The 21,297-nt window shown below is 42.3% G+C and overlaps 1 protein-coding gene across 5 annotated transcripts, besides 1 other annotated feature; it reads right to left on the bottom strand.

Moving 5' to 3' along the window:
• Nucleotides 1–9,525: 9,525 nt before the first annotated feature.
• On the bottom strand, nucleotides 9,526–21,212 carry RBM48 (RNA binding motif protein 48). 5 transcript variants are annotated; one of them, NM_001363366.1, is made up of 6 exons: nucleotides 21,083–21,212; nucleotides 20,341–20,531; nucleotides 17,458–17,603; nucleotides 15,037–15,605; nucleotides 13,533–13,573; nucleotides 9,526–13,156 (listed from the first exon to the last, which is right to left on the bottom strand). In NM_001363366.1, exons 1-6 carry the CDS (start codon nucleotides 21,191–21,193, stop codon nucleotides 13,153–13,155), a joined length of 1,062 nt encoding a protein of 353 aa, NP_001350295.1. In that variant the 5' UTR covers nucleotides 21,194–21,212; the 3' UTR covers nucleotides 9,526–13,152. The 5 variants fall into 5 exon arrangements, with proteins under 5 accessions (NP_001350295.1, NP_001350296.1, NP_115496.2 ...); NM_001363367.1 differs by lacking the exon at nucleotides 13,533–13,573 and having other exon boundaries at nucleotides 15,037–15,769; NM_032120.4 differs by lacking the exon at nucleotides 13,533–13,573.
• Nucleotides 20,909–21,288: an enhancer, noted in NCBI's record as "active region_26262". NCBI's record gives its function as "activates an Ori minimal core promoter by ATAC-STARR-seq in GM12878 lymphoblastoid cells {active_cell/tissue: GM12878}" and the evidence as "EXISTENCE:reporter gene assay evidence [ECO:0000049][PMID:35858748]".

Raw genomic sequence — 21,297 nt, 5'->3', positions numbered from 1 at the left:
AACCCAGGAGGCAGAGGTTGCAGTGAACTGAGATCACACCACTGCACTCCAGCCTGGGTGACACAGTGAGACTCTGTCTCAAAAAATAATACATAAATAAACAAATAAATAAATAAATAAATATAGTTTCCACTGCAGTGTTTTATACCAAAGTCTCACTTAGGAGTGAAAAGTTGTTTTCTGAATGTAAATTCTTGTAATGCTAATATCTGGTGAAAGTGGTCTTGACACTGAATGCAGCTGTACATGGTTGAACAGCCTCCCGTTATCAAAAAAATTTTCCTTCTCTAATCTCACTTCTTAAAAATGTTTCATATACACTTAAGTTAATTTTGAGAAAATACTACTTTCTAGTCAGGTTGTATTGCAAACTCATATGTATGCTACAGATTGAAGAAATTCAACAGAAAGACCCAACTAATCTGCTAATCTGGAGTTTTATTCCTACTTTTGCTAAAACATTTGATTATAAACCCCACAAAAGCTCCTTCACTGTGGGACTCCTTTATTCACAAATGACCTGAGTGAGATCATTTGTGGGATGAGTGAGTGAACTTTGGTGCTTATAAAGATCATGGAAAGCATGATCTTAAGCTCCATGATTATAAGTCATGGCAAGCATTCTCCAGGGAGAGGTTATTCGATAATTTTGGATAGTGCAGATGAGCAGACACCAAGGACATTACTGATTCACCATCCAAATACATCCAAAAATGTTCTTTGTCAGCGATACAGTGAAGGGTGTACTTCGTTTTTGCACTCTATGTAAGAAGAGAATCATAATACTGATATAGATACACACATGCATATACATGTATGTATATATATGTATTGCATGATCAAAGGTTTAAAAACTTCATCTCAAAGCTCCTTGATTGCAGCTTCATATCATTTTTAAACCTTCAATATAAAAATCCAGAAATTATGTTTTTCATTTCATATCCCAAGGAATATTTAATCTGATAGAAAAAAATATAAAGAGTGCTTTATTCTAAAATCTCTCTACCATATAATAAACTAGTCATTGCGTGGAATATAAATTGTTTTTGTCTTTTAGTATCATAAATTGAAATAACTAAAGAGAAGACTAATGACACTTTAACTGCTGTTATTCAAATCTTTAAACTTCTTATGCTTTAAAAAGTCTGTTTCAAGTTTATTATTTGAATGGAGATGGTTACATTTCTTGAGAGCAAATATTTGACATGTTGAAGAACAGTCTACACCAACAGTCATCTGAAGAAGAGACTGATGAAGGAATTAAAGAATCGGTAGATATAACACTGTAGAAAATGGTAAGAATGAAAAATTACAATTCATTTTTGTTAGATAAAGCTAAGGAAATGATTTCTTTTCTTCCATAATGAATGCAGCCTTTATGAGTGCAGGGGTTTTTGTTTGTTCCTGACCTAACTATTGCCTAGAACAATGCCTGGCTGATAGTGGTGCTCAACAAATATTTATAGAATAGCTGGGCAACTAAATGAATCACTATACAAAATGAATGTTTATTTTGTTATTTTTAAAAATTTTACTCAGTAAAACCTCATTAGTTTAGGGGGAGACCAGATGCAATGCATGTACAATTGGATGCTACTCTATTTTGTCTTTATGACCTAACTCCTCCAATCCACCTACATATTCATTATAATACAATAACATAATAATAAAAATAGTTGACCCCTCTAGAGTGCTTTCTAAATGCAGGACCCTTCAGGGAGCTTTAATCTGTGAACTCATTTTATTTTATTTTTATATATATATATATATATATTTTTGAGACAGAGTCTCGCTCTGTCACCCAGGCTGGAGTGCAATGGTGCAATCTTGGCTCACTGCAACCTCCGCTTCCTGAGTTCAAGGGATTCTCCTGCCTCAGTCTCCTGAGTAGCTTGGATTACATGTGCCACCACACCCGGCTAATTTTTGTATTTTTAGTAGAGATGAGGTTTCACCATGTTGTCCAGGCTGGTCTCGAACTCCTGACCTCATGATCCTCCCGCCTCGGCCTCCCAAAGTGCTGGGATTACAGGCGTGAGCCACTGCGCCTGGCCGTGAACTCATTTTATTCTCAAAACAACCTCATTGTCATGGGATTCTTGGGGTGTCACCTTGCCAGCCAGAAACCTCTGTGGCTAGTGGCACCTTTGTCCAAGTTTTGCTCAGGCCTACTGGACTCATTCCATCCACTCGGCCTGGCAGGGTTGTGCTTGGCTTGTGCTACTGGCCTGAATCCCATGCCTGCCAAGGGTGAGTCAGGCTCAGAGCAGCAAAGGGTGTGTGAGTGAATGACCATGGGGTCCAGCCACTGCGCACAGACAGGCACACTGGCTGTGGTGGGGTGGGCAGCTCCAGGTGCTGGCACAAGCGCTACCTCCCTGTGAGGCTGCAGCTGGACCAGGTATACCACAAACAGCTTCCACAGTTGGCACCAGGGAATGTGGTGGTGCCCAGAAGCTTGGAGAAGCCAGGAACTACAGATTCCCAAACAGGGTGTCACATCCCTGGCTTGGGGAGCTCCTAGGTCTGGGCTCTCTGAAGGGCCGCAGCTCTTCTCTCCTTCTCTCTTCAAAACTGAGGACACACCCCTTTCCACCCCAGAGCCTGTCTGCCTCCTGCCGCTGTTCATGGCGCCCAGGTTGTTGGTGACAAGGAGTGCCTGCAGGCCAGCGCTGAACTGCCTTCAGCACCTCCTCGGCCTCTCTCCAATGCTAGTCAGTGCCCAAAGTCCGGAGGGGGCCAAGTCAGCAGGGGGCTGGTGTGTCAGCACTGCCCTGAGTGTGCGCACACCTGGCCAGGTCGCGACAGTGCCCTGGCTCAGCCTCAACTTTGCTCTAAGATTGGAATGGGTGCCGGAGCAGCGAGAGGCCAGAAGTGGCAGCAGGTGCTTCCAAGCCTGTGGAGTAGGTGCCAGGAGAAGGGAGAGGTCAGAGAGTGGGAGCAGGCATCTCCAAGCCTGTGGGGGGAAGGGGGGCCTTCCCGGCCCCTAAGAGTGCAGAGATGCCTGGGTCCGCAGCTGTGGCTTGGGCAGCGGCAGCTGTGCCCAGGAGGGTGGGGATCCTGCCTGCTATGTAGCGCACACAGCCCCAGCTACGCCTCCCTGCTGCAGCTGGCACCTTTGCAATGGCCACTCCAGATGGGCCGCTGTTGCCATCACTATGAAGTAGAAACTATTATCTCCATTTTGCAAATGAGAAAACTGAAATACAGAAAGGTTTACCCAAGGTCACCCTAGAAAATGGGGTGCATAATTCATCTCTCAATAAAACCTAAGGTAATTCTTGGCCGGGTGCAGGGCCTCACGCCTGTCATCCCAGCACTTTGGGAGGCCGAGATGGGCAGATCACTTGAGGTCAGGAGTTCAAGATCGGCCTGGCCAACATGGTGAAACCCCGTCCCTATCCAAAATAGAAAAATTACCCAGGCGTGGTGGTGCACACCTGTCATCCCAGCTACTCGGGAGGCTGAGACAGGAGAATTGCTTGAACCCAGGAAATGGAGCTTGCAGTGAGCTGAGATCGCGCCATTGCACTCCAGCCTGGGCAAGGGAGCGAGACTCTCTCAAAACAAAACAAAAACGAAAACAAAAACCAAAGCCTAAGGTAATTCTTTTACTATGAACATGGTGATTTCTACCCTTTTCTTTCTTTGATCGTAAGCTGGATACCAGTGAGGTTTTGTGAATCCAAGGCAGCCCAGGCCCAGTTCACCTGTATTACTTTGGAGTTCAGGAAAGAAACAGATGGTGGGAGGTTTTGGAGTCTCAGATCCAGCTAATGCAGTCTCCAAAGTATCCTCTTCTTTTGGAAATATACTCACTAGGCCTGTTAGGGCTGAGGGTAGATTCCTTCCTGAGAGACAGTATGTTCCCAGTACCACACACACCCTTCTTTTTTTGTATTAATATATTTTTTTAATTTTTAATTCTTGTGGGTACATAGATGTATATATTTATTGGGTGCATGAGATACTTTAATATAGGCATGTAATGCGTAATAATCACATCATGGTAAATGGGTATCCATTCCCTCAAGCATTTATCCTTTGTATTACAAACAATCCAATTATACTCTTTTAGTTCTTATTAATCCTCCCCCTCTCCCTCTCCCTCTCCGTCTCCCGTCTCCCGCCTCCCGTCTCCCGTCTCCCGTCTCCCTCTCCCTCTCCCTCTCCCCATGGTCTCCCTCTCCCTCTCCCTCTCTCTCCACGGTCTCCCTCTGATGCCGAGAGGAGGCTGGACTGTAATGCCGCCATCTCGGCTCACTGCAACCTCCCTGCCTGATTCTCCTGCCTCAGCCTGCCGAGTGCCTGGGATTGCAGGCGCGCGCCGCCACGCCTGACTGGTTTTCGTATTTTTTTGGTGGAGACGGGGTTTCGCCGTGTTGGCCGGGCTGGTCTCCAGCTCCTAACCGCGACTGATCTGCTAGCCTCGGCCTCCCGATGTGCCCAGATTGCAGATGGAGTCTCGCTCACTCAGTGCTCAATGTTGCCCAGGCTGGAGTGCAGTGGCGTGATCTCGGCTCGCTACAACCTCCACCTCCCAGCCGCCTGCCTTGGCCTCCCAAAGTGCCCAGATTGCAGCCACTGCCCGGCCGCCACCCCGTCTGGTAAGCGAGGAGCGTCTCTGCCTGGCCGCCCATCATCTGGGATGTGAAGAGCCCCTCTGCCCGGCCGCCCAGTCTGGGAAGTGAGGAGCGCCTCTTCCCAGCCGCCAACCCGTCTAGGAAGTGAGGAGGGTCTCTGCCCGGCCGCCCATCGTCTGAGGTGTGGGGAGCACCTCTGCCCCGCCGCCCCGTCTGGGATGTGAGGAGCGCCCCTGCCCGGCCGCGACCCCGTCTGGGAACAGGAGTGTCTCTGCCCGACCGCCACCCCGTCTGGGAGGTGAGGAGCGTCTCTGCCTGGCCGCCCCGTCTGAGAAGTGAGGAGCCCCTCCACCCGGCAGCTGCCCCGTCTGGGAAGTGAGGAGCGTCTCCGCCCAGCAGCCGCCCCCTCCAGGAGGTGGGTGACAGCCCCCGCCTGGCAGCCGCCCCGTCCGGGAGGTCGGGGGCGCCTCTGCCCGGCCGCCACCCCGTCTGGGAGGTGTACCCAGCAGCTCATTGAGAACGGGCCATGATGACGATGGCAGTTTTGTCGAGTGGAAGTGGGGGAAGTGTGGGGAAAGGAAAGAGAAATCAGATTGTTGCTGTGTCTGTGTAGAAAGAAGTAGACATGGGAGACTCCATTTTGTTCTGTACTAAGAAAAATTCTTCTGCCTTGGGATGCTGTTAATCTATGGCCTTACCCCCAACCCCTTGCTCTCTGAAACATGTGCTGTGTCCACTCAGGGTTAAATGGATTAAGGGCGGTGCAAGATGTGCTTTGTTAAACAGATGCTTGAAGGCAGCATGCTCCTTAAGAGTCATCACCACTCCCTAATCTCAAGTACCCAGGGACACAAACACTGCGGAAGGCTGCAGGGTCCTCTGCCTAGGAAAACCAGAGACCCTTGTTCACATGTTTATCTGCTGACCTTCCCTCCACTATTGTCCGATGACCCTGCCAAATTCCCCTCTCCGAGAAACACCCAAGAATGATCAATAAATACTAAAAAAAAAAAAAAAAAAAAAAATTTTGGGTTTTTGGGGGATTTTTTTGAGAAAGAGTCTCACTCTGTTGCCCAGGCTAGAGTGCAATGGCGCCATCTCAGCTCACTGCAACCTCTGCCTCCTGGGTTCAAGAAATTCTCCTGCCTCAGCCTCCCTAGTAGCTGGGATTACAGGTGCCAAAAATTAGGTGTCTGGCTTAATTTTTGTATTTTTAGTAGAGATGGGGTTTCACCATTGTGGCCAGGCTGGTCTCGAACTTCTGACCTCAAGTGATCCGCCCATCTCGGCCTCCCAAAGTGTTGGGATTACAGACGTGAGCCACTGCACCTGTCTCTTTGTTATTTTTAAATGTACAATGAAATAATTATTGACTATAGTCACCCTGTTGTGCTATCAAATACTAGTCCTATTCGTTCTTCCCATTTTTGTACATATTAACGATCCCCACCTCACTCCCACCCCTCTACTACCCTTTCCAGCCTCTGGTAACCATTTTACTCTCTATTTCCATGAGTTCAGTTGTTTTAATTTTAACTCCCACGTAAAAGTGAGAACATGTGAAGTTTGTCTTTCTGTGTCTGGCTTATTTAACTTAACATGATGACCTACAGTTCCATCCATGTTGTTGCAAATGACAGGATCTCATGCTTTTTTATGGCTGAATAGTACTCCATTGTGTATATGTACCACTTTTTTTTTTTTTTTTTCTGAGACAGAGTTTCGTTCTTGTTGCCCAGGCTGGAGTGCAATGGCATGATCTCAGCTCACTGCAACCTCTGCCTTCCAGGTTCAAGCAATTCTCCTGCCTCAGCCTCCTGAGTAGCTGGGATTACAGGCATGTGTCACGATGCCCAGCTAAGTTTTTTATTTTTAGTAGAGACGGGGTTTCGCCATGTTAGCCAGACTGGTCTCGAACTCCTGACCTCAGGTGATCTGCCCACCTTGGCCTCCCAAAGTGCTGGGATTACAGGCGTGAGCCACTGCGCCCCGCCACATTTTTTTATCCATTCACCTGTTGATAGACACTTAGGTTGCTTCCTAAGTGTCTTGGCTACTATGGGTGGTGCTGCAATAAGCATGGGAGTACAGCTGTCTCTTCAATATCCTGATTTCTTTTCTTTTAGATATATACCAAGCAGTGGGATTACTGGATCATATGGTAGCTCTATTTTTAATTTTTTGAGAAAAGGTCTCACTCTGTCACCTAGGCTGGAGTGCAGTAGCATGATCACAGCTCACTGCAGTCTTGACCTCCTGTGCTCAAGCAACCCTCCTGCCTCAGCCTTTTGAGCAGCTGGGACTACAGGCATGTGCCACCATATCCAGCTAATTTTTTTAAAATTAATTTTTTTAGAGACAGGGTCTCACTATGTTGTCCAGGCTGGTCTTGAACTCCTAGATTCAAGCAATCCTCCTGCCTCTGCTTCCCAAATTGCTGGAACTACAGATGTGAGCCACCACATCCAGTTCTGAGGAACCTCCAAACTGTTCTCCATGGTGGTTGTACTAATTTACATTCCCGCCTACAGTGTACGAGGGTTCCCTTTTCTTCACATCCCTGGCAGCATTTGTTATTGCCTGACTTTGGGATATACGCATTTTTTTTTTTTGACGTAATTTCACTCTTGTTGCCCAGGCTGGATGGAGTGCAATGGTGCGATCTCGGCTCACTGCAACCTCTGCCTCCTGAGTTCAAGTGATTCTCCTGCCTCAGCCTCCCGAGTAGCTGAGATTACAGGCATGCACCACCACGCCCAGCTAATTTTGTATTTTTAGTAGAGACAGTTTTCTCCATGTTGGTCAGGCTGGTCTTGAACTCCAGACCTCAGGTGATCCACCCGCCTTGGTCTCCCAAAGTGCTGGGATTACAGGTGTAAGCCCCCATGCCCAGCTGATATAAGCCATTTTAAATGGGGCGAGATGATATCTCATTGTAGTTTTGATTTCCATTTCTCTGATGATCAATGATGTTGAGTACCTTTTCATACACCTGTTTGACATTTCTACATTTTCTTTAGAGAAATGTCAGATCTTCTGCCCATTTTTAAATCGTATTATTAGATTTTTTCCTTTAGAGTTGTTTGAACTCCTTACATATTCTGGTTATTAATCCCTTGTCAGATGGATAGTCTGCAAATATTAGTATTTTCTCCCATTCTTTGGGTTTTCTCTTCACTTTGTTGATTGTTTCTTTTGCTGTGCAGAAGTTTTTAAACTTCACGTGATCCAATTTGTCCACTTTTGCTTTGGTTGCCTGTGCTTGTGAGAAATCTTCACCCAGACCAATGTCCTGGAGAGTTTCTCTGATGTTTTCTTGTAGTAGTTTCATAGTTTGAGGTTTTACATTTATGTCTTTAATCCATTTTGACTTGATTTTTGTATATGGTGAGAAGTAGGGTCTAGTTTCATTCTTCAGCATATGGATATCCAGTTTTCCCATCGCCCTTTACTGAAGAGACTGTCTTTTCCCTAACGTATGTTCTTGGCACCTTTGCCAAAAATGAGTTCACTGTAGATGTATGGATTTGTTTCTGAGTTCTCTATTCTGTTCCATTGCTCTGTGTGTCTGTTTTTATGCCAGTACCATGCTGTTTTGGTTACTATAGCACTGTAGTGTAATTTGAAGTTAGGTAACATGATTCCACCAGTTTTGTTCGTTTTGCTCAGGATAGCTTTGGTTATTCTGGGTCTTTTGTGGTTCCATATAAATTTTAGAATTGCTTTTTCTATTTCTGTGAAGAATGTCATTGGTACTTTGATAGAGATTGCATTGAATCTGTAGATTGCTTTGGGTAGTATGGACATTTTAACAATATTGATTCTTCCAATTCATGAACATGGGATATCTTTCCATTTTTGGGGGTGTCTTCTTCAATTTCTTTCATTAGTGTCTTATAGTTTTCATTGTAGAGCTCTTTCATTTCTTAGGTTAATTTCTAGGTATTTAATTTTATGTATGGCTATTGTAAATGGGATTGCTTTTCTTCTTTTTCAGATTGTTGGCATATAGAAATGCTACTGATTTTTGCTATGTTGAAATGCTATGTTGATTTTGCATCCTGCAATGTTACTAAATTTGTCAGTTCTAATAGCTTTTTTGGGGTAGTCTTTAGGTTTTTCCAAATGTAAGATTATATCATTTACAAACAAGGATAATTTGATTTCTTCCTTTCCAATTTGGATCCCCTTTATTTCTCTCTTGTCTAATTGCTAGCTAGGACCTCTCCTTTGAAAGAAAATGTTATGGAGTAAATTTTTTCTGACAATTACTCAAACTTTTCTCTAGATTAGACTCTCAGCAATCCTGATGTAATTAGGCCCAGAAGTGAAAAAACAAGGACCTGTTGAAACCAATCCAATTAAGCAGTTAAAGGCATTCATAATCTCTACACATGCTATTCTCACCCGCTACTCCTGCGCAACATACTTGGTCTCTCATAATCCCTGTCATGAATGCTTCACTCCAGGCAGGTCTGTCTTCTTAATTTATACCCATTTGCTGTCTTAATTCAGGTGGGCCACTCTTCTGCACCTCCTCCTCACACCTCTCTACCTATCCCAACCATCCTTAAAGGTTCAGCAGTGGTCTGCAAGTCTTCTTCAGAACTGTTACTTCCATAACTCCCAGTGCCTTCCTCCTTAACAGAGCAACTTCACTGTTACCCTTTTTACCTGATGGGCTCCCAAGTAAGAGATACTTTGTGGAACAAATTCTACAAAAAAATTAATTTGAAAATCATTGCCCTATTGTACTTATTTTATCATAAAGTAGCCATATAATAATGGACTTCCTCTAATTTTTATCTTATTTCTCCAATTAGAGTATAAGTGTTTTAGGGACAGGGCTATATTTTATATATCTAGGGTAACTCAGGTATGCCTATTAGAATAGTACAAATAAAATAAGTGGCCTCTGTAAATAAATAATTTTTTATGTATGTAGGGTGTCTACAGAAGTGTGAACTTTTATTTGGTAAAATTTTTTTAGTCTAGAGAGCTATTTGCCATGCAAAATTTAAAACTAGTATTTACCAAGAAACATCTTCCTAAGATTATGACAATGATGGCAAGCTATCGCTTGCAGACTTTGAAAAACAGTAAGAGAAGACAGACTTCTGTTGGAGGTGTTTGGACCATGTTTACCAGAAGCAAATGTATAGTTACTAGTGCCAATAGCCCATATAGATTCAGGAAAAATTTTAAAGGGTCAGAGAGTAATACTTGCTAGACACTCTCCTCTGTTGGGCTGCAGCCCACTGCTGAAGTCAAGGCAATCATTGAGAGTTCAGCCCCATCCTGGCATTTGGGCCCCAAGAAGACATTCATGATTATTTCAGTAACTATATTCAAGACTTCCATTGAGCTTTTAACCTCTTTAGCAATAGACAATTCCTGTTTCCTGTAAGTATGGTGTATTTCCCAAACCAAATCCAGGGTATATTGGCTTGCTTAAGGGATAGAACACTGAATAGAGTTTCAGCAAGTACACCACAAACTGCTAGAACACTTGATCTCTTTCAATACAATTGCTGTCAATGTTTTTAAAATTTTGGAGACATAGAGTACTTTGTGCTTATGAAGGTTTTTCATGTATGCATCTGACAAAAGTTTTCTGAGCTGCAAGTATCAGTCTAATAATTGATTTGGCTCATAAAATTGCCTTACATGTTCTTCCTTTATCAACTATGCTTTTCAAACATGGTATACAAGAACACTTTTTTTTGAGACACAGTCTCCGTCTGTTGCCCAGACTGGAGTGCAGTGGTACAATCTCAACTCACTGCGATCTCTGCCTCCTGGGTTCAAGTAATTCTCATGCCTCAGCCTCCCGAGTAGCTGGGATTATAGGCATTTGCCACCACGCCTGGCTTTTTGTATTTTTTGTAGAGATGGAGTTTCATCATGTTGGCCAGGCTGGCCTTGAACTCCTGACCTCAGGTGATCCTCCCACCTTGGCCTCCCAAAGTGCTGGGATTATAGGCATGAGCCACTGTGCCCAAAATAATAACCTATATGGAAATTTTGTAAATTAGCTTGCATGTTATTAAGCTATCCTTATCCACCTCAACTCATCTCTTTAATTTATTTGTCTCCCTGTAGTTTATTCCCTCTACCCCGCATTTTAACTTTCTGGAAACGTGTGGTAAAAAGCAATGTGTAAAAGGCAGGCTTCCAATCTGAAAAGAGATGAGCGAAAACAGTATATAGCATAATGGACTAGATCAGAGTAACTGCTTAGGATGGAACAGCCAACCGTTCTTCAGCTGCTTCCAGAGTTCATCTGTAGCCCAGTTATCTAGAGCCTTGCTATTCAAAGATGGTCTGTGCACCAGCAGCACTGGCAGCACCTAGGGACTTGGGAAAAATGCAGAATCTCAGGCCCCACCCAAACCAACTTAATTTGAATCTTTTTGTTTTGTTTTGCTGCTTGACACCACAAAGGTTTCTTTCTGTCTCTCCTCATGATGAATTATGTTGGTGGGGATGAGGAGTGCTGGCTTCCGCATGGTCACAGGACTATCAGGAACCCATTCAGAAACACACGACCCATTTAGCAGCTCCTCTCCTTAACTGTCAGGTAACGTTTGTCATGCAACAGATCTCTAGAACTCTTTTCATCTTCCAAAACTGAAATTCTATGCCCATTAAACCGTAACTCCTCATTTTCCCTCCCCACAGCCCCTGGCCACCACCACCACCAGAATCTGCATTTTAACAAGATCCTGAGGTGGAGATCATAGCAACTTATAGTCTGAGAAGCCTGAACCAGACAGCAATTTGCTCCTTCCAATTCTATGCTTAGGTCTCTAATATATCCTTTACCTGAGATTTCAGCAAAAACTGTATCTAATTACCTCACATGGAAGTAGGGCCTACCCTCCTTATCTGCAGCTTGCTGTTAGTACCATCTACCACTTGGAGCCATCCTAGTTAATTTGGATCAGTGTGAGGAGAGAGGCCATTTCTCTTCCTGTCTCCCATCTCTGAAGAGGAGGAGGGAGTAAAAGCTGAAAAACAACAGGAATGGAGCCAGTGGCAAAACCAACCGACGCCACTGACCAGGCCTGAGGTTAAAGATTAACCCCCCAACTCTAACCATGTGTTGCCTATAGATCACTTGCTCCGTCTATCACAACCCTTTCACGCAGACCCTCTTACAGTTGTAAGCCCTTAAAAGGACCAGGAACTTTTTCTTCAGGGAGCACGGTTCTTGAGACACAAGTCTGCCGACGCTCCTGGCCGAATAAAGCCTCTTCTTTCTATAACCTGGTGTCTGCGGGGTTTTGTCTGCAGCTCGTCCTGCTACAAGTACATCATAGCTGAAATTGAACCTTATTAACTGGTATGTTCAAATTCAATCCACTAGGCAAGAGGCCATTAAAGATAGGGAGAAATGAAAACAACACACCACGGTATGGACCTTCTCAAGTTATTTTTATCAGTAAAGAAAATGGCCAGGCACAGTGGGTCACACCCATAATCCTAGTACTTTGGGAGGCCGAGGTGGGTGAATCACTTGAGCCCAGGAGTTCAATACCTGCCTGGGCAACACAGTGAGACCCTGTCTCTACTAAAAATAAAAAAAGAAAAAGAAAATAGAGACAGTCTAGATGTACTGAAATTTCCAATTATGTAATCCACTGACAGAAAAAAGTGTGGATATGCCAGAAGTAGTAACAGAAGTCTAGAATTTATAAATACTGATGTATTTTTGGATTGCCACAGGTCAAGCAAATTCTTAAAAGTTATTTAAAGCATATAAGGTTCTAATTTCAGCTTTGTTCTAATAGCTAATCTACTTTTTACTTCATAGAATTGTCTTGATTTTGAAACCCTGGCATTCGGAAACATCCTGACTTCTAGTGTTTCAATGGTTCATTCAATACTTGTATTATAATTGGAAACAGACGCTGGCTGCCTATCTTTATTTCTATTGTAAAGTTTCCATATTTGCTTCAATTAATTTACATATAATTACTGTACATGAGAGATAATGTTATGACAAGAATAGTTTCTGCAACATTAAGTATGGGTCAAAAAAAGAAGAAATGGGCCAGGCGCGGTGGCTCATCCCTTTGGGAGGCTGAGGCAGGTGTATCACAAGGTCAGGAGTTCGAGACCAGCCTGACCAATATGGTGAAAACCCATCTCTACTAAAAAAAACACAAAACTTAGCCAGGCATGGTGGTGCACGCCTGTAATCCCAGATACTCAGGAGGCTGAGGCAGGAGAATCGCTTGAACCCGGGAGGTGGAGGTTGCAGTGAGCCGAGATCACGCCACTGCATTCCAGCCTGGGCAACAGAGCAAGACTCCATCTCCCAAAAAACAAAGAAATGACTTTAGACAAATGGCTTGAATGAAATTACAAAGAGGAGTGCATTAAAAAATACCAGCAGTAAAATCTCTTGAAGAATTAAAATGACAGGCTAAAAATAAATAATAAATGTTCTTTTTAGAAAATACTAAGTTGCTGCTGGCACTCTATATTCTTCTTCTTTGTTTTAATGGATGACTTGTATGTACATCTTCTGGCTTGTCCTCTGGAGGCTTTGGCACAGATGAAATTACCTAATTAAAAAAAAAAAAGAACCATTAAAACTTAGTTTCTATAGCACAGGAGTAAATAAGCTATTAGAAGAGGTAAGACTACATCCAATAGTTCAATCCTTGATGTCACTTTCGAGGCAGAGTTCGCCTAAGTTCAAGGTACAGCCTATGACCTAGGCACAGAGTGGAGTCTTCCATTTGAATACTGATGACAGTAAAATTTCTAAAGCTATTTAAAAAGAAAAAAAATTTGGAGGAAGAAAAGTGAACATATGCTCTACTTTAACATTCCTTTATAGATCTAAAGACACTTGTTATATTACGGATTCAGATAGATATCCTGGTTTTGCATTCTTGAAACACTGATAACGTTTGATAGATTTGGGGGGATGAAAACCTTTGGAGAAATGAGCAGGAAGCAGTATAATCCTCAATTTCCTGGAGAAAAAGGAAAAGCAAACACACCATCAGAAAAAGAGTGTACAAAGAGTATACAATAAGTCAAAGCAAAGTAAGAGTCTTCATTTGAAATGGAAAATTATTAGAAACTATAGTAAACTGTATTTAATATCTTTTTTTTGTTGTTCTATTTCTGGACCTAGAATTTGGACTTCACACGTTTATCTTGAAAATGTAATCAGCTCTGGTTGAGACAGGTATGTATCTATGTCTATGCCTCAGTTCAGCTGTAACTGAAGGAAGGAAGTAAGGGTGGCAGCACAAACTGAAAACCTTTTTTTTTGAGACAGGGTCTCACACTGTCACCCAGGCTGGAGTGCAGTGGCATGATCTTGGCTCACTGCAACCTCCGCCTCCCAGACTCAAGTACCCTTCCACCTAAGCTTCCCAAGTAGCTACAAGAGTTCACCACCACGCCTGGCTAATTTTTGTATATTTATGGTAAAGATGGGGTTTCATCACATTGGTCAGGCTGGTCTCAGACTCCTGGGCTCAAGCAATCTGCTCACCTCAGCCTCCCAAAGTGCTGAAGTTATTGGTGTGAGGCACTGGGCCCAGCCTAAACTGAAAAGCTAAAGAAGGCTTCAAAACTGTGCCCACGGATTTTAATTATTATTAAATAATACCTTTAATCAGATATTTTTAGGTAAAAAATGTACATATATGAAATTAAACTACCTTAGCCTCCCTTAATCACATTGTAAAATATGAGTAAAACTATGTGAAAAGCAGTTTCTGCATCTTGGAGTAAGTATAAGAGAATGTCATAACCCTCAGTTTATGATTTGTAACAGTAGTCCCTACCCCACAAAAAGGTGTCTTTCAAAAGCTAACTCAGATGTTAACTTCATTTGTGCTTAGGAAATGGAAAATGATTATGTAAATGACATTAAAAAAAAAAACAGACTACCTAGGCAGCACAATCTGATCCCGATCATTTAAGAAGTCTACATTTGAAATGCATACCTGGAGGCCTAATTTTTAGAAATCTCACCACCTTCTATTGCTCTTTATCACAAAAGCAAATTAAGCATTTTGAATTTGATATAAACTGTAATAACTCTAAATTTGAGAGAAATAATTTACAATACTTTTGCTTCTCAACTTTGGCTCATATTAGAACTACCTGGGGAGCTTTTAACAAAAATGGCAGGCCTGGGCTCCACTCTCACAGATTGATTTAATTGGCTGAAACCACTGCTTTAATATTTTGTATCTACAGTGATATAAAATGTCTGTTCATTGTTTAAAGCAAGTATTAACAGTTTAAAGCAAATAAAATGTTAGCCAAATTCAGTTATTTCAACAGAGAACTGTAGAAAAACACATCAAAACACTAAAAAGTGAAAAAAAATTACAGTACTATTGTTCCCACAAATAATTCTCCATTTAATCCTATAACCAAATCGTGTCTTAGAATAGTTTTTTAAAAATAACCTTACCTCTTTAAGTTTATGCCGAATTAAATTCGCCGTTGTATTCAATGAGTCATCGTGCATATCCACTTTAGAGATGTCTGGTAACAGAGGTCCAATCATAATCTCATTACCAGTTGGGTTTGTTTGAAGAAAAGTTCCAAGTTTACGATCATCTTCTCTTCTTCTTTTGCGCTCCTGCAGTTGTGTTGTCCTAGGCATAAATCTGTCAACTGCCTCTGAAGACGTAATAGCCTTTTGTGCACCAGGGCAGGCCACTGAGTTTTTCAAAGAGTTTATCTGTGTTTTCCGCAAAGAGTCATTGTGGTTATAATGCCCCATTGTTTTATGATGGTTTCTACCATCCTTAGAGGAGTCTGGTGCTCTGTCTACAGGTCCCCCGGATGAACACATACATTTTGAGGAGAAATAACATAAAGGCAATTCACAGGAATACGGAAGATAAGGATTTGAGTTCCCTGCAGAAGTGTTCAAAGCAGCTTTACAAAATCCAGACATCTCTGAGTGGAAGTCTTGTCTAAAATCCTCTGTGTCTTTATGCTCTGTAACCAATTTCTTCTTTGTCACGTAATGGTCTTTATATTACAATTTAAAAGTTGAGGGAAAGGGAAACAGAAGTGGTTTATTGTTTTCATCATTCAGAATCATATAATTTAAAAAAATCACTTAAAAATGTTAACAAATTCTACTCCAAAAAAATCATTTCTTGAGAAGGGTATATATTCACATGGTTTAAAACCTAAAACGGATAAAAAGATATATAGCATCAAGTGTCACCCTTTCCTTGCTCTCCATGGGTCTGGTTTCATCCCCATAAGTAATCACTATTGTTTTTTATTTATCTGTTCAATATGTCTCACTTTGCCACCTCCTTCCTCCCATTTTCTCCCCACTTTAAGATAACCTGTAATACGCATTTCTCTGCACCTCTGCATTTTCCATTTCACTGTAGATCTTACAGAGGTTTTTCATCATTATATAGAAAGGTTTTTTTTTTTTTTTTTTTTTTACAATTTCAGAGTATTCCACTATCTGGATGTATCATGCTCCTTGGCTTGTGTTTGTTAGTCACTAAAGAAAGCAATATGCTTGTCGCACTTCTAGGGCTGGCAAGGGCCTCTTCCCTGGTTTACTCTCCCAAAAGCAGATTACAACAGGAATGGAGTATGGAAGATGTGGTAAAGATGAAATTGGCTATGTGTTGATGATTGTTAATGTTAATATTAATACATGGGAGTTATGTTAACTTAGTCTCTCTGCCTGTGTGTTTTGAAATTTCCATAATAAGAGTTTTTGAAAAGTAAGACCACGTATACAAATGCATCTTGTAGAGGCTAGAATGCTGCAGATGAAAGAGAGCTTAACTAAAGTGTCCAAGGCCAAACAAGTCATAGTTTAATTCTGAGGTCAGCAGCACAGCAAAAAGGTCTTAAGAGGAAGGGGAGCAAATAATGAAGATAATCCTAGGCTGTCACCAACACTGAGATGATTAAAGCAGTTAAAAAGTAAACTCTGGACAGAGTCCAAAGCTTGGGTTTTAACCCTTATTTTGTCTTTAATTCATCTCTAATAATATAGGCAGGTCACAAACTTTCTGAGACTTAGTTTCCTCACCCAGAAAAATTAGGACCCAGGTCAGATAATGTCAAAGGTCTTTCTCCACATTAATATTTTATAATTTCCTTTGCCACACAAACATACAAGTTTTCCTGGTGCTATTTATTTACTTATCTTACAAGTTAGAGTTCAATGTCTGCAGATGACTGGGGATTCTCAACAGCTCTCTTACCAGATTTCTGAGTAAGTTTTCCAAGAGTTTTCCCACTTTATTTCTCTCCATCACTATGTGGTAGAACAGGCATGTGGGGGCATTTAGCCAATTGCTGGTCAAAAGTAGAACTTCTCCATGATTAGCAGTGACAACTATATGATTTGACAACTGCAAATCATAACTGCTTCTCACTGCATTCTGGTCAAAGCCTTAATTCCTTAGCATGGGACACAAGGCCCTCCATGATTCACTTCTTACCCACTTTTCTAAACTTATCTCTCACTGAAACCTTTGGGCTTTGGTTATACTGTATTAATTAAAGTTCCTTAAATGCATGATGCTCATTTATTCCTCTAAACATTTAAACATCTTGCCTGGCTTGCCTTTCCATCTTTTCCTCTCCCATTTAGTTAACGTCTACTTATCCTTTAAAATTCAGCCACTTCTCACATACTATAGGAAGTCTTCTATGAACCAATATTTCTCCCTTCTCAACCCAGATTATGTAGTGTGCTGCAGAGAACCCTGTGGTTCACAGTTACTGAATACTGTGATGGTTTACTTGCCTCTCCTACCACTAGACTGGGAATTGCATGATGACACACCTGGCAGAGTGCCTGACACACAGGAGGCATTTAGCAATATGCTTTCCATACCTTTATTTTCAGTAGTTTTTACTACATATGCCTTCCGCATTTGTAGTTTTTTTCTAGTTTCTTCAACTGTTTCAAATTCTGGAGCATAGCACACATGAAGCAATCCACCGAAGAAACTCTGTTCATCCATTTTTCTCTTGGCTGTCCTGAATGGAAATACAAGATAGCATAGTTTTTTAATCTAGATTTACTTGGGATGAAAGCTTAACTAGTATGCAATATCTGGATCTAAAGAGCAAAGTCCAGCTTTTGCTACGTGTATATATATCCTGTGGATTGGGAATTAAGATGCTCTGCTTGTGGACAGTATTCATCCCATTGATCGAGTATGTACTCGTAGAGCCTCCCCTTTCCTTCCCTTTGAGCCTCTTTGTTCCCTAGTCTTTAAACAACTAAGGACCCAGCTGGTTGGCCTGAAGTATGTAAACTGTGGTCATAAAATGGAGCTTTTCTCTGTGGCCCTGAAGAGTTGGTTCATACCCAATTAAGCTTTTTCAGCACTATGTATTTCTGTGATGGGATTCATGCCTTAAAAATCAGATGAAAGATACTATAATCATAAAACATTCAATAACTGAGGAACTATTAAATATATAACAATGAGAAAATGAGAAGAATGTTATTCAGTCAATAAATACTTACTAAACATCTATGACTGGCCAGGTACTACAATAAATTTAACTACTTCTATATCCAGGGATAATGATAAATACTTGTTGAGATTTCACCATATGCCAGGCAATGTCATAAGCGCTTCACTTGAATTAACACCTAAAAACAACACTGTAATGAAACTGAAGCACTGGGACATTATGTAACTTAGCCATGCTCATAGTCTGGTTTGAGGAGCAAGGATTCAAATCCAGATGTCTTACTTCAGAGCCTACCAGACTACGTACTATAGAAAACAGAAAAGCTCTAGAAAATGTTTCCCTAACCATGGGAGCTGGCAGGTTGGTTAAGAAAGTGAAATTACATATAACAGCAGCCTGAGAAAACCACACAAGACCCAGTAAAATCAAGTGCTTTTGTGGTAGACTATGAGTTCTACTGATAGCACAAGAAAGAAAATATGAATTGTAATAGCCAGAGAAGGATGGGTCTCAGAGCAGATTAGTGAGGAGAACAGAGATCAATATAAAAATAGATAAGGCACTGCATACTTCAGCCTTTTTGGAGCAGAGGATTATGTCACATAGAAGGCTGGAAAAAACTGAGTCAGTTTGCAGAAAGGAGTAACAGTAGAAACCACAATAGCTAATGTTTACTGTATTCTGACCAGGATACACCTTTATATGGATTATCTCATTTCATCCTCATACAACCCCAAGAAGTAGATAGGTCCCTTTACCATACAGATTTTATGGAAGAGGAAAAACTTAAACAGGTTAAATAACTTGCCCAAGATCATGAAGCTAGTAAGCAGTGGAAATGGAAAACTTACTCCAAACCCAACTTTTTTTTTCTTTTGAGACAGAGTCTCACTCCATCACCCAGGATGGAGTGTAGTGGCCCATAAGACTCACTGCAACCTCCACCTCCTGGGCTCAACTGATTCTCCTACCTCGGCCTCCCAAGTAGCTGGAACTACAGGAATGCACCAACACACCCAGCTTGATTTTTGTATTTTTACAAAATACAAAATACTGGCCATGTTGGCCAGTCTGGTCTCGAACTCCTGGGCTCAAGCAATCTGCCTACCTTGGCCTTCCAAAGTGCTGGGATCAAATCCAACTTTTTCTTTTTTTTTTTTTGAGACAGTCTCACTCTTGCCCAGGCTGGAGTGCAATGGCATGATCTTGGCTCACTGCAACCTCCACTTTCTGGGTTCAAGTGATACTTGTGCCTCAGCCTCCCCAGGAGCTGGGATTAAAGGTTTGCACCAACACAGCCGGCTAATTTTTGTATTTAGTAGAGTGAGGGTTTCACCATGTTGGCCAGACTGGTCTTGAACTCCTGACCTCAGGTGATCCACCTACCTCGACCTCCCAAAGTGCTGGGATTACAGGTGTGAGCCACGTGCCTGGCGTCAAACCAGAATTTTTTTTTTTTTTTGAGACAGAGCCTTGCTCTGTCATCTAGGCTGGAGGGCAGTGGCATGATCTCTGCTCACTGCAATCTCCACCTCCCAGGTTCAAGCAATTCCCATGCCTCAGCCACCTGAGTAGCTGGGACTACAGGTCCGCACCACCACACCCGGCTAATTTTTGTATTTTTAGTAGAGGAGGGGTTTCCATCATGTTGGCCAGGCTTGTCTTGAACCCCTGACCTCAAGTGATCTGCCTGCCTCGGTCTCCCAAAGTGCTGGGATTACAGGCGTGAGTCACCACGCCCAGGCTTCAAACCCAAATTTTTTTTTTTTTTTTTTTTTTGAGGCAGAGCTTCCCTCTTGTTGCCCTGTCTGGAGTGCAATGGCGCAATCTCGGCTCACTGCAACCTCTGCCTCCCGGTTTCAAGCGATTCTCCTGCCTCAGCCTCCCGAGTAGCTGGGATTACAGGCCTGCGCCACTAGACCCAGCTAATTTTGTATTTTTAGTAGAGAGGGGGGTTTCACCATGTTGGCCAGGCTGGTCTCAAACTCCTGACCTCGTGATCCGCCCACCTCGGTCTCCCAGAGTGCTGGGATTGCAGGCGTGAGCCACCGTGCCTGGCCAAACCCAACTTCTACTCTACCAAGCTACAGGACATTAAATTGTTAAGCATGGGAATGATGTGATGGATACAGTGTTTCAGTAAAGTTAACTTTTAAAAAGGCTGGAGGAAGATATGCTAGATTACGTTTTGGGGTAATTCAGTTATGAATGAGGGAAACTTGGGGCCAAAATGACAGAAATATGAATGGAAGAAATGAGGAAATGAGTCATTTCTTAACTTGCACATTACCTTGCACTTTGTAAGTTCATAAATTTAATAAGATAAACTTCAGTAAAGTCTTCTGCTGGGTATTCATCTAGAGCATTGTACTGTTCAATTGCACCATATAAAGCGAATCGCTCAACTAATTCCTTCATGACTCCCACAGCAGGAACTCCTTGTATTAATAAGTACTGAGATTCCAAATTGATTGTATATACCTGAAAGAAATGCAGAGTTATTAAACGTATTTCGCAAATAAGCCTAGGACGAATCTGCCTCTATTTTTTTTTAAAGAGAACTTTGAAAACAAGAAATAATCTGTTCAACCCAGTCAGCAAAAGAACACAAAATGAAATTTCTGCCATTCCTTCTGCATAAAGAATAACAGTCCATGTGAGAGGCTACCTAAGGCATATAACAGACTACCTTCAGTCGACATTTTTTTCCAGAAATTGAGTCGGTAGAAGTCACTGGGAACAATCACTCAACGAATATTCACTGAGTGCTTACCTGTGCCAAGTAGTACTGTAAACACAGAAGATCCAATGACTAAAACCAAGGCCTATTCTCGTGGAGTTGATGTTCTAATACTTGACCAAAGGCGTCGTGAGAATCTTTGGTAACTGACCGAGGGTTCTTCACGCCAGCTCTAACGAGAGACAGATCTGACGGAAGCCTTGTCGTGCCTTTATTTCCGTAGGCTGGTCATATGGCGCTAGCACTCACATAAAGCTACCGAGGAGAGCGAATGAAACCAAAATCACTTTACCTTCACAGCACGAGGCCGTCGTCCCTCTCGATATTTGGCCCGTGTGTCGCATACCGCCCTCTGGACGTGGTGATCAAATAAACTCCCTAGCTCCCCGCCGCTCGACGCCATCTTGCCTACTTTGATCCTCGCAGGGAGGACAACATCCGCCCTACTGAGCTCCCTTTTATCCAATAAGAGAGCGGGATGAGTTAAGGAGTGCCAGGATTGGCTGG

Source organism: Homo sapiens, chromosome 7 (genome assembly GCF_000001405.40).
Source record: "Homo sapiens chromosome 7, GRCh38.p14 Primary Assembly".
Classification (NCBI taxonomy): Eukaryota; Metazoa; Chordata; class Mammalia; order Primates; family Hominidae; genus Homo; species Homo sapiens.
The sequence above is the reverse complement of the archived record's forward strand: the minus strand, read 5'-3'. Positions and strand labels throughout refer to the sequence as shown.